At 42.1% G+C, this 17686-nt stretch overlaps 1 protein-coding gene across 3 annotated transcripts in view; it reads right to left on the reverse strand.

Annotated features, from left to right (window-relative positions):
* FKBP15 (FKBP prolyl isomerase family member 15) overlaps positions 1 to 17686 on the reverse strand; it is a 60272-nt gene that overhangs the window by 5908 nt on the left and 36678 nt on the right. For 2 of the 3 annotated variants that reach the window (NM_015258.2, XM_006717019.2), the window contains 11 exons: positions 17379 to 17486; positions 16838 to 16932; positions 15853 to 15955; positions 11717 to 11888; positions 9624 to 9760; positions 7515 to 7670; positions 6540 to 6692; positions 4668 to 4793; positions 3609 to 3716; positions 2311 to 3029; positions 1547 to 1643 (listed from right to left, as the gene is read on the reverse strand). In NM_015258.2, coding sequence (NP_056073.1) covers positions 1547 to 1643; positions 2311 to 3029; positions 3609 to 3716; positions 4668 to 4793; positions 6540 to 6692; positions 7515 to 7670; positions 9624 to 9760; positions 11717 to 11888; positions 15853 to 15955; positions 16838 to 16932; positions 17379 to 17486 — 1974 coding nt within the window. The remainder of the gene's footprint in view (positions 1 to 1546; positions 1644 to 2310; positions 3030 to 3608; positions 3717 to 4667; positions 4794 to 6539; positions 6693 to 7514; positions 7671 to 9623; positions 9761 to 11716; positions 11889 to 15852; positions 15956 to 16837; positions 16933 to 17378; positions 17487 to 17686) is intronic. The other variant, XM_006717018.3, reaches the window with a different exon arrangement.

Consider the following 17686-nt stretch of genomic DNA (forward strand, 5'->3'; position numbering starts at 1 on the left):
AGTCTCTACTAAGGCATTCTCTGCTCTGGTGAGCAACTGCCAACCAGAATCCATCTTCACAGGGCCAGGCAAAAGGGAAGGCAGCGTGATGTGTATACAAGTCTCTGGGCTAATCCCACGTCACTACCAATTAGCCAGACCTCGTACTTCTCTCTGGACATCAATGACGTGATCTCTAACTCTGACAGTATAGGATTTTCAAGTGTGGCTCACAGCTTCTGTTTTGTCCTGACTAAAGTTCTGGCTCTACATTTACTAGCTATATAAGCTTAGTTAAATTATTTAATCTTCCTGAGCCTCAGCCCTCTGATATATAAAATGGGATAAAAGTACCTACCTCATTGGATTAGTAGATTAAATGACAACATCTGTGAAGTCGTTTTCAGAGTACCCAAGAACTACATGTTAACTGGACAGTATTGGTACTAATACCAATAATATGCTCACTAATTAAAAGCTTCCAACTATATTTAGGGCAGTCACTTAGAATATACTCAATTTGGTTTTTCCCCCTTTTTTCCTTTTTTTAAGGGCAGAATTGCTATTCTGGATTCTCAAATGAAAATTTAACTCTTGAGAAGAAAGACTCATGGAAGGAACTGGTACATTCCCCAAAGGAACACAGGCAAGAGGGAAGGGCTCCGATACATGCAAGCTGGAGCATAGATCCATCACAGCTCTCTGCTCAAGGTTTTGGCAAAAGGCAAAATCCACTCTGGCTGATACATGAGGGGACAAAATTTGCCCCATTCACCCTCATATTTCTGTCCTTTAGATGGACTGAGCCTGAAGCCCACCTGTGTTCTCCATATGCATTTCAGAGCAGTCAAAATGGCCTAGGGACAGCCAGAACGGTTGTAACCTAGCACAGCGGGGAGCAGCAGAGGCGAGAACCGGGGTTCTAATTCAGTCCCTATCAGTGCCCTCCTCTCCTGGCCTTCACTCTTGTTCTGTGAAGCTATGCTATTAATACTGAACCCATTTTGTGCCCAGGGATATTGTGATGACAAAACAAGGCAGCAGGAAAGCAGGCTGAGTAAGTGGAAAATGCTCAGGAACAGGAGGTCTTTACAGGAGCCTGGGGATTAGTCCTAGCTTTGCCATTAACTCACTCTGTGGCTTTGGGTAAATCATCATTTTGAGCCTCAGGTTTTTTATCTATGAATAAGGATGCCAGGCAAGATGATCTTCAAAGTCCTTTCCAATTCTAAAATATAAATAATATCCTAGCAGATTTGGGGAAAACTAAGGCTTCAGCATTCCAATGTGGGGCTAAGCAGCTCAGCTTTCTTCCTCTGAGGGGACTAATTCCTGCATGGACAGAGACTATGATTCTTTCTCAAAAGTAAAGTGGTATGTGACCGTCCCCTACTCTGCTTACAGAGCTGCGCCCTCCCAGCCCAGCCCCAAGCCTGCTCCCACAGGGCCCTGCACACAGAGTCCAGGGAGTGGGCCACCAACAGGCTCCATTTCTCTTCTCAGAGCCAGTAGGGAAGAGCCCCCAGGTGGGTGTGTGAGGACTTGACAGTGCCTGGGATTTCCTTACCACCTCGTCTTCATCCTCCTCCTCAGGCTGTGCTTTGGGCCTCAGAGCTTTCAGAGTTGCCCCTTTAAACAGTTCATCCTCTTCATCCCCAGAGAGACTGAAGGAAAATCAAGTCATAGAAAATGTTATTGTTCCTGCTCCAGGTCACAGTACCCACCACCTACAAGGGTCACCGGCCCTTGGGTAAGAATTCAACAGCGTTGGTGACTGCTCAGGAATTCCTCCCACCTCCGCTGCCACCATCTCTTCCCACACCCTACAGTGGCCTCCTAGTGCGGTTGGCCCCCTCCAGAACCTACAGCCAGAGTCATCTTTTCAATGTGACCTTCTCAGAATCCTTCCCTAGCCACCCTATCTAAAGTGGAACAACTCCTTTAGAATAGCACCCTGTTTCTTTTTTAAAAGGACTTATCATACTTTATGATATGTAAGTATGTATTTGTTTTCTCCACTTGACTGTCACTCCTTAAACTCAAGAACCAAACCTGCCTTGCCTACCACACTATCACAGGGCCCACCACACTACCACAGTGCCCGCCACACTACCGCAGGGCCCGCCACACTACCACAGGGCCCGCCACACTACTGTAGGGCCCGCCACAGAGCCTTGTACATGGTAGGTGTTGTTGAATTAATACATCAACTAATGAATGAAGACATGAGTAAATTAGTCTCTGAGGGATGAGTTGCCAGCCCTGGAAAAAACAGAGACACTCACCACAGATAACTACCCTGTCCCTGAAGCAGTGCTCAGAGGAACATACCTGGAACGCTGGGAATGATGGCTGGGTCTGAGGGCTGCTCCTGCAACTGTGGAACCTGCCTCTGTGCTTGACAGCTCCTTGTGGGGACCGGTGGAGCTAGTGACATCATCTTTCTTGAGCTGTGGAGGCTGAGGCTCTCCTGGGCTTTCAGGCCCTAAGGCCAGTGGGTCCCCCTCCTCGGGGTCTGAAGTCAGGGACAGTCTTGTGGAGCTTTCTTGTAGTGGGCCATCTGGTGCTACTTCCCTGACACAGACCTTTCCTGATGGGTTGTCGGGCTTAGCTGCCATTGGGCTGGCAGCAAGTGACTCCTCACACTCAGAGTCCATGGATACAGGGCCTAGGGGCTCAGGTGGAATTGAAGTCGGGGGCCCTAGAACTCTGTGGGATGGGATGCAAGACAGTTCGGGTGGAAGGGAACCATCTTTTATCTCTGAGAGTGCCTCAGCTTCTGAGTCCCCTTTCCTTCTGTGTCCATCCTGGGAAGTGGTGAGGGCCTGAGGAGGCAACGGGACAGCTTCCTCGACCACCTGCTCTGAGGGCACCATGGGGGACTCTGGCCTCTCCCTATTCAGGGGTGCTTGAGGCTGCCCAGAACTGGCTGAGGCTGACTGCTCCTGGGAAGGTCTTCGTGGCCGCTCTTCTGCTTTTTCTTCTTCTTCTTCACTGCTGCTCTCTTCCTTCTCTTGCTCCTGTTGGTTTAACAGCTGAAGAGTCACCATCTATTCAAAAGCCAAGGAAGAGATGGTCACTGAAAGGAACACAGTAGCCACTCCTAATTCTTATTAACACTACTGGTCATGTAGTTTAAATGACTTTGCTTCTTTCCTGTTAAAAGAGGCTGACTATATCTGTCAAGTCACTCCAGGCATCCTAATTACTGAGGAACAGTCCTGAATAATTTTCTTTTTTTTTTCTTTGGAGACAGGGTCTTGCTCTGTTATCCAGGCTGGAGTGCAGTTGGGGGCAATCATGGCTCACTGTAGTCTTGAACTCCTGGGCTCAAGTGATTCTCCTGCCTCAGCCTCCCAAGTAGCTGGGACTACAGGCACGTGCCACCATACCCGGCTAATTTTTAAATTTTTAATTTTAGTAGAGACAAAGTCTCATTATGTTGCCCAAGCTGGTCTCAAGCTCCTGGCCTCAAGCAGTCCTCCCACCTTGGCCTCCCAAAATGCTGGGATTACAAGCATAAGCCACTGTGCCAGCTTTGAACAATTTTTTATTCATGATCCCTTAGAAGGTACTTAAGCAACAAAATGCCCAATACGATGAAACAAATGACAGCTGGCTGGCTGTACCTTGATCGTATTCATGATGGTTCCCAGAATGGTCCTGCCATTGTAAGATTCCTCCAGCTCAAACTCTCTCCGTAAGGACTGGAACACCTGGTTCATGATCTTCTTGACCTGTGTGAACATCAAAACACATGCTGTCAAAATCAAGTCACTAAAGGATGCATTAAATTCCAGAGAGGTGTATGGAAGGCCAAAATGAAGCCATCTTAGATCTCTACACTGGGATACTGCTGGTCATAAGCAGAGACACTGAAGGCTGTCACTGTGGAGAGGATGATATTAAATAATGAGCAGCACTTTGACAGAAGGGCTAGTCATGAGAGTTACCTATCAAGGGCAGGCAAGCTGTGGTCTGTGTGCCCAAGACTGCTTAAAGACCATTTCTTGATGTCCCCCTCCCACTGTGAGCACCACTAGGAGCTGCCATAGGCTCTAAGGGTCAGAGGCCAGTGGATGCTGGGCACACTCCCCAAGCCCCATTCTTCTTCTGTGGTTAGAGGCCCTTCCTATACCTGTCAAAACCTCAGAAAGATAGGGTTCTTTTGGGTTTGCCACTTAATATGTAAGTATGTATTTGTTTGTTTTCCCACTAGGCTGTAAGCTCCTTAAACTCAAGAACCAAATCTGGGCCGGGCATGGTGGCTCATGCCTGTAATCCCAGCACTTTGGGAGGCTGAGGCAGGCGGATCACAAGGTCAAGAGACCGAGACCATCCTGGCCAACATGGTGAAACCCTGTCTCTACTAAAAATACAAAAATTAGCTGGGTGTGGTGGCGCGTGCCTGTAGTCCCAGCTACTCAGGCGGCTGCGGCAGGAGAATCGCTTGAACCTGGGAGGCGGAGGTTGCAGTGAGCCAAGATCACATCACTGCACTCTAGCCTGGTGACAAAGTGAGACTCCGTCTCAAACAAACAAACACCAAATCTGGTTCATTTTAAAGTCATCAGACAAGTAAAACATCACTAAAGTTAGAAAAAGAGCTATTAACACAACATACTGGCCATGTTCTTTCTGAATGCTTGATATAAATGGCTTGCTTCTCATTTGAAATACCAGCTCACCTTCTCTGAGGGGTCAGATGCAGCAGCTTCAACCCCAGACATCTGGGACTTGTTCTTCTCTAGTTCCTTGATGTGCTGTTCATTTTGCTTGGTGAGAGCTGTGATTTGGGCCTGGAGGGCTAAACACTGCAAAACAAACAGACTGTGGCTGTGGCCTCAGGAACCAGGTGAAGGTCAGAAAACCCAAGGGGAGGAGAACCACCCAAACATCAAGTCTCTTTTTTTTTTTTTTGCATATAATAAAAAGACAATTTTATTTCAAATTCTTTTTTTTTATTATTATTATACTTTAAGTTCTAGGGCACATGTGCACAATGTGCAGGTTTGATGCATAGGTATACATGTGCCATGTTGGTGTGCTGCACCCATCAACTCATCATTTACATTAGGTATTTCTCCTAATGCTATCCCTCCCCCCGTCCCCCAACCCCCGACAGGCCCCGGTGTGTGATGTTCCCCGCCCTGTGTCCAAGTGTTCTCACTGATCAATTCCCACCTATGAGTGAGAACATGCAGTGTTTGGTTTTCTGTCCTTGTGATAGTTTGCTGGGAGTGATGGTTTCCAGCTTCAACCATGTCCCTGCAAAGGACATGAACTCATCCTTTTTTATGGCTGCATAGTATTCCATGGTGTATATGTGCCACATTTTCTTAATCCAGTCTATCACTGATGGACATTTGGGTTGGTTCCAAGTCTTTGCTATTGTGAATAGTGCCACAATAAACATACATGTGCATGTGTCTTTATAGTAGCATGATTTATAATCCTTTAGGTATATAACCAGTAATGGGATTGCTGGGTCAAATGGTAATTCTAGTTCTAGATCCTTAAGGAATCGCCACACTGTCTTCCACAATGGTTGAACTAATTTACACTCCCACCAACAGTGTAAAAGCGTTCCTATTTCTCCACATCCTCTCCAGAATCTCTAAACATCAAGTCTTAACCTCGCCTAGGTCTGCTGGTGTCCACTCCCTCAGCCCCCACCCACGACCCTCTGCCTCAGAGAGTTCTATCTCCTCATCATTCGACTTCAACGCAAAACTTCACTTTCTCTTTCCCAAGAAGGTTGCTTGCCTTGTTCCCAATCAGGTAAAAAATATAATGAAAAAAGAGCAGGAGGGTAGGTAATAACTAGTCATTTAGACATAAACATTCAGCATTAACAGCAACCCATTTGTCATTCATCTGCAAGATTGCCTCCAAGATCTCTGAGCCAAAAGTTTTCAACTGGACACTTTAAGGAAAGAAACTGACCTCGAATATGGACTTTCACACCATGACCCTAAGCCATGTCCCATCTCTCTTTTTCAGGCCTGATGATCCCACCACACCCCAGCCTCCATCCTATCTCAGTGCCTTTGCCCAGGATGTTCTGCCTCCTTTGCTGCCTTACCAAAGCTATTTGTCCTTCTTGGCTCTGCTCAAATGTCACCACCTTTGGGAAACCTTCCCAGCTCTCCTGGGTACTTCCTCTTCTGGGCCCCATAGCACTTAACACCTATCTTTGTTTCTTTGTCTCCCTTTCTTGACTGTGAGATACATGAGGGAAGGGTTCCTTGTATGCACTTCCTTTAACACACTGGATGGAATACAACTGACTCTCAATAAATATTTGCTTAATAAATGAAGGATCCAATAATAATGGGAAACATGTTCCGGAACACTAGTGCTGTTTTCTCTTTTTCCAGGTCACTGACCTATCACCCCACATAAGTATGTGAAAGATAACTGACAAGCTAAACAAGTGTGGTTTTGTCTTCTAGATATTAATAACTTTCAGGCTTAGAAGGATCGACAGGACTCAAACAGCCTGCTTGCCTCAAATTAACTGGGCTGCCTAAACTGTCTGACTCAAGAAAAATATGTACCTTTTCCTGAAGTTGTACCAGCTTCTGCTGGTAGGCATCTCTCTGTGCGCACACCTCCTGGTACTGCTGCAGGTGCTCATCCTTGGCGGAGGCCAACAAATGTTCACATTTTGCTTCCCACTGGGTCTGTAGCTCAGCCTGTACTAAAGACAGCTGCCAAGAGAAAGTAATGACCATATCATCCTTGGGGGTGGGGGAGTGAGATTCCATTGCACCTAGGGAAACCCATCTTTCAAAAAGCAAAAGAATAAGCTAACAGCCCAGATTTAACTGGGAAACTGTTTAAAAGACTCATTACTTTTAAAATAAATGCACTTCTTAAGATGTCATTGGTTGTCAGGACTCCAAAAGGTACTCCAAGCAGACAAAAGTGTGCCTATCTAGATAGGTCCCTGGAGGGCAGGGCCATGTGATCACTGCTTTTCAGGGTCTGAACCCTAAACTTTATAGGTTCAGAAACTTTTTTTCACCAAAATTCCCAGAGGTGGTCAAATTGAGGGCACCAATGCACTCTAATTAAACAAATGTATGCATATAAATTTTAAGCTTATAATGAGAAAGGTTGCTGTTGCACAGACTAGAGATCCAGCTGTGTCCTGCCACTATCCCTGGTTCCCTTCCTGATGACCTAAATCAATCCCTTCTTTTCAAGGATGATAATGTGCCTGAAGGATGGTGTCCAATGGTTGATGGTTTTGGCCTTACCATGTTTGGAATTTTTTTTGTAAGGAAACTATTTTTCATTTTTACTTATGTAATTAAATATTAACTAAGCTTTAAAAAAAGAAAGAAGATTCTCCATTTGATTCCTGGCTCTCCTGCACATATCTGGATTACTTTTTCTACCTTTCTCCAAAGTGAGAGTATCAGCTATGAGAAATGTCATCCTAAAGGGTAAGGAAGAAACCAGAAGCTTTTCTCTCTGAGTCCTTCACACCTTCCCTCTATTTTCAAAGTGCTTCAGTTTCCCATTACCTGCTCTGCAGCTGCTTGGTCTGTGGACACTCGAGTCTTTTTCAAGAGCTGTCGAAGTTTGTCCAATTCCTCCTGGTATGACTTGCGAATTTCATCTATCTCCTCCTCGGCCTGAGAACGCTCTTGAGCTGACTTCTTTTTCCTTTCTGAGAGGTTCTTAGGAACAAGAGAACCATCATCAGCTCTAGCTTGTTAACAGAGAATAAAGAGGGATGATGGCGGTGGCAGTTAATTACCTTGTGGAATCCTTACTCCATTTCTGAAAACTCCATTTTTTAGTTGAATTTTCCCCTAAATATTTAACATTCTTGGCTACTGGGTGAGGAAAATGGTGACAGGAGAAGGAAAACAAGAAGAGCTGTATCTACCCCTCTATTAAGAGCTAGGGAAATTGGGAGGCCGAGGCGGGCGGATCACGAGGTCAGGAGATCGAGACCATCCCGGCTAAAACGGTGAAACCCCGTCTCTACTAAAAAATACAAAAAATTAGCCGGGCGTAGTGGCGGGCGCCTGTAGTCCCAGCTACTTGGGAGGCTGAGGCAGGAGAATGGCATGAACCCGGGAGGCGGAGCTTGCAGTGAGCCGAGATCCCGCCACTGCACTCCATCCTGGGCGACAGAGCGAGACTCCGCCTCAGAAAAAAAAAAAAAAAAAAAAAAAAAAAAAAAAAAAAAGAGCTAGGGAACATCCTAACTTTAATAAAGGTACAGGAAATCAGACATTCTCATACCCTGATAGTAAGAAAACGAATGGATATACTCTCTTTGGATAGTAATCCTGTGAAAAGCCTTTAAAAACATACGTATCCAGAAATTCCACAAATTGTAATTAAGGATTCAATAAGTCATAGTCATAAAGAGTGTGTTACAAGGATGGTCACTGTAGTAGTATCTATAGTAATGACAAACTGAAAACAGCCAAGAGGTTAGAAGGAATTGGTTAAAAATAAATAAATAAAATGGAAAAAATCCTGGAAAAAAATGCAATTGCAGACCAAGATTTACCCTCTTAAAAGGCACTGGGCCAAAACAGCTTTACCTAATGAGATTTACTGAAGCCTCAGGAGCAGTTTATTATTTTCATATTTAAACGATTCCAGAACAGACAAAAAGATAGAAATGTTCTCACTTTGTTCACTTAGTATTTCCTGATATTAAAATTTTAACCAACAAAAGATACTATAAATAAAGTTAAAAGACAGCAAGCTAGAAAAATATTTACAACATCTATGACTGACAAAGGATTGATACCCTTAAAAGGGTTTACAAATCAAACTAATAATAGGAAAAAGGATAAAGGACACTAAAGAGAGAATGTACATAAGAAATACAAATAGGTATTAAATATATGAAAGCTTTACTACTAATAAAAATACACATTAAAACAAGATAACATATTTCACCTGTCAGACTAATGAAGATTAGAAAAAGTGATATATGTAGAGTGGGGAAGAATGTGACAAATGGGCTCACTCACATACTGCTGAAAGTGTAAGCACTATTCTTTGAGGATAACCTGGTAATATTTATAAAAATTCAAATATGTAGCCTTCCCTTTGATCCCATGATTCTTACTCATGCAATCCATCACGTAGGAATGCTCAAACAAATTTGCAAAAACAGTTATATAATATGAGAATGTCCATAGAAGCAGTGCTTAAAATAATGAAAAAATAAAAACATAAATATCCATCGATAGGCAAATCATTAAACAAATTATGGTACAGCCTCATAGTAGGCTACTATGCAGCAGTTAACTACGAGTGAGAAAGATCTCCTTCTTATGTAGTACAAGTCCATGACATTTTCCTAAAAAACATTAAACGTGATACCACTACTGTAAAAAAAGTTGTCAGTATACATACATGTATGTGTGTGAGAGTGTGAATGTATGTTTTCTACATACAGAAAACAATCTGGAAGGATCATACACTTTATAACTGTCACCTTCAATGTATGAGATTAGAGCGGGGAAAATTTTTTTTTAATTTTACACTTTTCTATATTATTTGTATTTGTTACAATAAGCACATACTATTGTAATTTGTAAAAGGAAAATAAAAATGTTTATTAAACAGCTAATTCTGGCCAACTGGGTTGTAGAGCTTACCTTTTCCAAGGACTCCTTCTCAACTCGAAGGTCAGTCAGTTCCTCCTCCAGGGATGTCACCTTGAGTTCCAGTTGTTTCCGGTTCTGCTTTTCACTTTTGAATTTGGACTGTGCTTGCTCAGAGGTTTCTTGGAGCTCTGGGATACAGGAGCAGAGAGACTTCGCTACAGAACCAAAGCTGTAATGGGCTATGTGTTATCCCAGCAGCTCTTTTTTTAAATTATTTTTTGGAGACAAAGCCTTGCTCCATCACTCAGGCTGGAGTGCAGTGGTGTGATCATAGCTCACTATAGCCTCCATCTCCTGGGCTCAAGCAGTCCTCCTGCCTCAGCCTCCCAGAGTGCTAGGATTACAGGCGTGAGCCCCTGCGCCTGGCCCCAGTGGCTCTTTCAAAGCCGCGTGCTTTGATTTCCCAATCCTACCACACAAGCAGCCTCTGCTCACTTCTTTCAACATCACCTCACTGACCAGCAATAAGATTTGTCAAGCCGTCAGCTGACTCCCTCATCAACCCATATTTATCCCATAGAAAGTCATCTCTGTGTATACATGTCACCTTCTCCACATACGAAATGGAAAGGACATGTTCCCAGCAGTCAGAAATGACCTTTGAAACAGATAACTCTCATAAGTCCATTTTGGCCACCATCTTAACACACTGGACCAATCATTGTTTAGTATTAGTCCAGGTTCTTTCTCACTGCTTGAGTAAGATAGTCTCAACTTTCTTGGTAGCTGGGACATTCTACCAAGAATTTGCTTTCAAAGCATCCCTTCTCAAATAAAGCTCTTTGAAATAAATAAAATTTGTTTGGGAAACTTTTGAGACTCTTATGACTCTTGAGGTAATTGTCATAAGGCACCACAAAAGCAGAAATGAGACATTTGAACAACATTCAAATCTAAGACTGTCTAACACATTTGCCTCATGTGGGCCCAGTCATGCTCTAAAAGGGAAGAGATGGGCTGGGAGCAATGGCCAATGCCTGTTAATCCCAACGCTTTGGGAGAACAGGGCGGAAGGATGGCTTGAGGTCAAGAGTTCACAACCAGCCTGGTCAACATAGTAAGACTCCTGTCTCTACAAAATATAAAAAATTTTTAAAAAAATAAAAGGGAAGGGATGTATCTTCAAGGTAGCACCTTACCAATTGACATCATTGTTTTTTAGTTCTCTATTAGGCAAATGAACTTTGCTTCCACCCAACTCTGCTGCTGCTCCAGCTACCCCCTGCCCACTAGTCCCATGTCTGCCTTCCATATTTGTTTCCATAAACCAAGGTAGATTAATCAACCTGCTGGTCTTCACAAATCTTCTATCCAATCACCATGTCTTGCCAGGCACTGAACTAACACTAATATGGAGGAGAGGACTTTACAAAGATGAGCAAAACACCATGCTTATCAAACTGTGATAAGGGTTATAATAATGCACTATGAGATAAAGGATTTTTTTTTAAAGAGATCAAATGTTCTAGAGAAAACTAGGAAAGCTTCTGAAAGAGGCAGATTTTGAAGAGGACTAAAAGCGAATATTGGTAATGGTGGGCATGTCAAGTCCAGAGAATAGCATGGATAAGAAGCAAGACAAGAACTACAGGATGAGCTGAAGAGCAGCCAGCAGGCTTGCTGGCATGGTCAGGGCCAGGATGAACTGGACAATATAACGGGAGACAAGCCAAGCAGGATGGGCCTTGAGTGTGAGGCTGAAGAGTTGCAATCCATCTTCTAGGAAAGAAGAAACCACACCAGGAAGCATTTCTTTTTTAAACTTCCACTGAGTCATGAGTTAGAACAACACATCAACTATTCCAGGCATTTGAAGCCAATCATAAGTACCAAAGATTTTGAAGCCAACACCTCCCCAAACAAAAGGGAACTGTGGCACTGATCAATTCCACATGAATAGTCAGTTCTTTTGCTGTTCCTTCTGTAAAACAATCATGTAGGTTTTATACTAGTCTCCTTTAATTTTTGGTGTAGTCCTTCAAAAACTTCATGAGCATCATGCCAAAAAAATTGAGAGGAAGAAAACAGCTTAATTCCTTGAGTTTAAATGGCAACAATCCCAGCATCCCCCACCTAGCACATACCTGAGAGCTTTGCCTGCACTTTGGTGAGCTGGCCCCTGAGAAGATCTGTCTCCTTCAGGCTTTCTGTCAGCTGCATCTGCAGCTCTGTTTCCTTTTTTTGGTGAGCAGTCATTTTCAGCTGCAGATGAGAGACCTGTGCAGTGGCCGCTGCTAACTCCTCTGTCACCTTGGCCTGAATAATAACAAAGTATGATGTCACTTTAAACATAGGTGTTCTCCATGCAGGTGATGAACCAACCTCACATAACTCTATGTAGACTGAACTAGTAAACAGGGAGTTATGGCTGCCTTCAACCTGCATTAAACCAAATTCAAATTATGGGGTGGACCATCTCTCCTATACAATTATATTACTACTACTATTATGACTCCTATACTATTATACCTATACCAGTATACTTAAAATTTTTTTTTTTTTAGAGATGGGGTCTCGCTCAGTCACCCAGGCTAGAGTGCAATGACACGACATAGCTCACTGTAGCCTCGGACTCCTGGGCTCAAGCAATCCTCCCACCTCAGCCTCTGGAGTAGCTGGGACCACAGGTGCAAGCTACTATGCCTGTCTCTATTATACCTTACATACATTTTCACAGTTGTCTATTTCCTTATTATCATTTGTCTCTTCTTACTGTGTTCACTGTACCCACTTGTTTTAAATATATTTATTCCTCGCCTTATTCCAAAGTCTTTATCGGTTTTATAGATTGCATTTAAAATCTGATATTTTGACTCTCCTAAAAAAAGAAAATAAAGGCCGGGCGCAGTGGCTCGCGCCTGTAATCCCACCACTTTGGGAGGCCGAAGCGGGCAGATCACGAGGTCAGGAGTTCGAGACCAGCCTGACCAACATGGTGAAACTCGGTCTCTACTAAAAATACAAAAATTAGCCAGGCATGGTGGTGGGCGCCTGTCATCCCAGCTACTCGGAGGCTGAGGCAGGAGAATCACTTGAACCTGGGAGGCAGAGGTTGCAGTGAGCTGAGATCGTGCCACTGCACTCCTGCCTGGGCAACAGAGCAAGACTCCATCTCAAAAGAAAAAAAAAAAAAACAAGAAAACAAAATTGTATATAAAATAAAAATAACATGCCACTGCTCTGCCTGTGGGGTAATCATTCTTTTATTCCTTCACTTAATAAACTTGCTTTCACTTTAAAAAATAAATAAATAAAAATAAATAGGCTATAAATGAGTATCTGAGAGTATATGTAACCTTTAGACTAAGCTTTAAGATACTTATTTTTGCTATTCAGTAGCCTTAGGTTTTCACCTGCTAAACACAGATGACAATGAAATCTAGAAGTTCCAGATATAGGAGTGGCTTTCATCTACTCATTGTCCTGCTTCAAATGGCCTAATGAAAACAAAACTAACTCAGAGCTCAGAGAGCTTTGCATCTATTCATAGCTCAGAGTTCACTAATAACAGAACATGCACCTCTCTCATAAGGACTTGCAGCAGCTAAAACACTGGAAGGGACAAATTCCAAAGGCGTGCCAATGAAATGCAGGGTTACTCTCTTGCTAAAGGTTAAGCAGAGTAGAAAATCACCCAAAAGCTCTTTTTATCTCAGGTCCTTAGCTAGAAAGGCCTCTCAGAAGCATAAAAATTAATGCTGTCCCCCAAATGTACATGTACACAGAAAATAAGGGAATGGATAAGATATTAATAATCATTATTTTTGAGTGGAAGGATTTATATTTTATGTTTGCTTATCTGTATTTCTAAATTTTCCAGACTGAACAGATGCAACTTTTATGATCAGAAAAAAATGTGTGTGTGTGTGTGTGTGTGTGTGTGTGTGTATAGGTGTACTTATAATTTTTTTTTAAGGTCAGGGTATAATCAAGTGAGAAGGGAAAACACAAAAAAATCTACACCCTGGTTCCTACCCTGGATCAAATTCTACTGCTGACATGGAGAGTGAGAAAAAGAAAGCAATGACAGGAAGAACTAACAGTTCAGAAAAACAGTGAAAAAAAGCATGCAAGGTAGAAGCAGGAAAATAGTACTCAAGAGAGATAATAATTTGACACAGGAAAAGGAATATAGCTGAATGGAAATGGGGTCCTATGCAGGTCTTTTACCCTTTCATTCTCTGATCCTTGGTCTGTCCCTGTAAAATAAAAAGGTTAAACTAAGAAGGCAACCTCTAATAGCTCTTCCAGTTTTAGCCATTATTCCACGATTTTTTGTGGTACTATTATATCACAGTGAAAAATAATTTCATTTACCAAATATTCATTGAGCCCTTAACCATACTTTTCTGAGCTGTGTCTGAAGGCAGAAAATTGCCTCCAGGGACAAAAGGACCTTGCCCATCTCCCTTTAAAAGGAGAGATCACCAGGAAAACTGTTAAGTGAGAAGTGGATCAAAAGAAAAAGAGGGGAGAGTCAAGGCTCAAAAAGTTTCATTGAAATAAAGATGATCAAGTAAAACATGTGGTACTTGGCATCCCAGTCATATGCATCAAGAGATTCCCTAAAAAATTTGTGTGAAACATGGTATCTATAACACAGTGGGTTGTGGCAGATATTAGCTGTGATTACTATTGTCATTATTACTTCTACTGTTTTGCTATTATAAATAGAGCATCTACTGGGTTCAGTGCATGGTATCAGACATCTCTGGGGTTTATCAACATGAAAACATTTGGGTAGATTATTGAGCTAATTCAGGGGCTGGCAAACTATGACCTATGAGCCAAACTGACCTATTATTTTTGTAAATAAAGTTTTATTGGAACACATACACACACAAAACAGTGCTTCTCAACATGAGAATCACATGCTGAACTTCTTAAAAATGTTGCCCCTCCAGAGATTATGACAAAAGAAATCACTGACAAGAGCAGTAATTCCTACACCTGGAATCTATAGGATCTTTTTAAAAGTTCAGATTCAGGCCCCAGCTAGATAAACTAAATTAGAATCTCTGGAGGTTCGGGATTTAAGAATATCTAGTTTTAATCAAGCACCCCAAGTAAGTCGGAGGCAGCCAGTGTTTGTGGACCACTGATCTGGAACAAGTTACAGTAATCATTTTAGCCCTGAATAGTAACTGTGAGGCCAAATAATATATTTAGATGCCCTTTATAAAGAAAAAACAAACAAGCAAACAAAAGGAGTAAAGGAAAGGAAGAGAAGAAATAAAAGTAGAGGAAGGAGAAATAGTAAAAAGTACATTTAGTGGGTGGGGAGTGGTGAAGTGACTTCAGTACTACCTAACGATAACAATGTTACAGGCTGCTGATCTTGACCTAGGCATTAGGAGTCAGTCACATAAATAAGAAATGGTATAAAGTAATGGGAACAGAACAGGGTCAGGATTGGACAGGGCTGTGCAGGATGAGGCACTGCTTGCCTGGATTCTAGGGCTAAGAGAAGACAAAGATTAGCATAAGACATAGTAAGGAATCCTCATTACAGAATATGAGAAAGTGAGTAAACTCCACAAGTTACAAGTGTGTTCAATCTAACTTTTCATGTTTTCAAGGAAAACACAAATACAAAATATAAACGAGTTCTAAACCTCTGAGAAGAAAGACAGTAGATGAAAAAGTCAGGATCTCCTAGCTGATGAGTGGTAGCCCAAACAAGAAGGAATCCATTCAGGATAAAGAACGTCACTGGAGCAAGGGGAGAAGCGAGCTTCAGAATCAGCAGATCCCAATCCAAGACCCACTACTTACTGCTACTGCAGGAACAGGTCAAAATTCCTGGTTTTGAAAGGATTGAAGTCAAACAGTAGTACTTTAAAATGCTTTGGCAGACACAGATGAAGGAGCAAACAATCTTAAATTCCACTAAAAAGAACCTACACATCTGTTACCTGGTATAAAGGAAATTTTCTGTTGATTTTGTCAACAGAATAAATTTAGTTTCTAATAAGCTGTGTAATTCTTAACTAATCAAATTACTAAGATCAGTGATTATTTTTGAGTCACCTTACTGCGAAGCATATTATAAAACAGAAATGTAGATGATGAATACATGAAAACCTGCTGGGAGATATCTAGTTCTTTTTGCAGTGACTGCAAAAATTCTGTTGGAAAGCCGACTGGTGAGTATGTACATGGGACCATTCCTTAGCTCTACCCATCCTGACCTGGGCTTTTCTCTCCCCAGTTGCTTTACCTTCTCTTGTTCAGCATGCAATACTCTTGCCTGTGTGTTTTCTGTGGCTGTCTGAAGTGAGTTGTTCCTCTTCTCCATCATCAGGTTACTCTGCTCAACATACCTGTGAAAGAAATAGAGAAAAAGAAAACATTTATCAAGCACTGAGTGTATGGCAGGCACAACCCAATGCCCATTCTGTCCTCACAACATTGCTGCTCTATACCTTTGTCAAAAGCAATTTGAAAGCATTTTCTTTTCCTTAGATCTGAAGTAGTGAGATCTAAGGAAATCAGGTTGGAAGCAGGAACCTGGGCCAGCAGTGAACTACCCTGAATAATGGAGAGGACAACAATGTGAATGGTGTGTGATAATGGGAATGAGTAGGAAAGAGACAGGAGTAAGGAGGCTATAAGAAAGAGGGAAGAAGAGAAAGCCACTCCCCCAGCTCTGTCATGTGGGAGACAAGAGACAGTGGAGAAGAGAAATATGGGAGAATGATTTTTTTTAAGTGAAATGCTGTGTTGTGATGTGTTCCACTCATCCTCCCCACCCACCCCTCCAAATCTTCAGAAGTATCTACAAAAAGTACAAAATCCTTAGGTCTTATATGGGAATCAGTGAAGTTTTGGCTGAGTTCTGATGGATAAAATAGAGTTAGCCCACACAGAAGAGAGAAGAGTTGACACCAGAGTTCTGTAAGTAATAATACCAGTTTTAAAGATAAAGAAACTAGGGCCAGCAGGAATAAATAACATGCCCAGAGCCACAGAATGAATGAGGGTCAGAGCAGGAATCAAACACAGGTCTGCCCTACATCACAGCCTACTAAGCTCCTTCTACTGCAATGCCTCTCAGAAAACAGGCAATAATTCACATGACAGGCAGGAAACAGAAATGGCAGAAATACATACGTACTGCCCTAAACAAATACGTGTACTTAAGCTGGGCATATACATAATAAACCCTTTTGTCCATCCTAGCCAGGCCCCGTACCTGTCATTACCTCTGATTTCGTTCAATTAGTTCACTAATCTTGTCATTCTGTTCTTCTATCCGATTGCTCTTTTCAAGGATCTCTTGCTTCAATCTTTCATTTTCCTAATTTCAAAATATATGATGTACAATTTAAGTGTCTTGGGAGAAAAGTGCCAGATAGAAGAGAATCAACTTGAACTGACAGGTGACATTGTTAACATGTTTTGAGACAAAACACTAGAACTTATGTCCACATGTATGTTAAAACAACACATCAGATTACACCTGATGGATACAAATCACTAGGTCCAATGGATTGAGTGAATAAATGGCTAAAAAAAGAAGTGAAATTCTGAAGTATGGTCAAAAAAGCAATGTTTCCTTCAGAATATATAGTGATAAGTCACTTGGACAGAATTAAGCCATAATGGATTTTCTAGAATTGTCTAACCCAGTGTAGCGTTTATCACAGGCTATTTCTGGGGTGGAGGTGTTAAAGAGTAGTACCTCTGAGAAGAGAGGATGGGTAAGACCTTCAGCCTGAGTGGTATGTTCTTAATCACCCTCACCTGAATGATTCGCTGGATGTTGCTCATAATCATGCTTGTTTCCATTGTAACTGACATGCTAGGAATAAGCATGGAATTGCCAGCACTATGTTTCTGTAACTCTTCAACCTACAAAAGGGATACCAGAAAGACCTTGTGAGAAATTATAAAATGAAGAAATACAATTTACCCAAGATTTGACCCTGTTGTTAAGGGGGTTAATGAGTTCCTGGGACAATCTCTAACTGTTAAGTTAGAGTTTTCTCCTACTAACTGGATCCCAACATAATTATAACTATCCTTGTAGGGAAATAACCTCTCACTACTAC

The sequence above is a fragment of the Homo sapiens genome, chromosome 9, assembly GCF_000001405.40.
Source record: "Homo sapiens chromosome 9, GRCh38.p14 Primary Assembly".
Taxonomy (NCBI): Eukaryota; Metazoa; Chordata; class Mammalia; order Primates; family Hominidae; genus Homo; species Homo sapiens.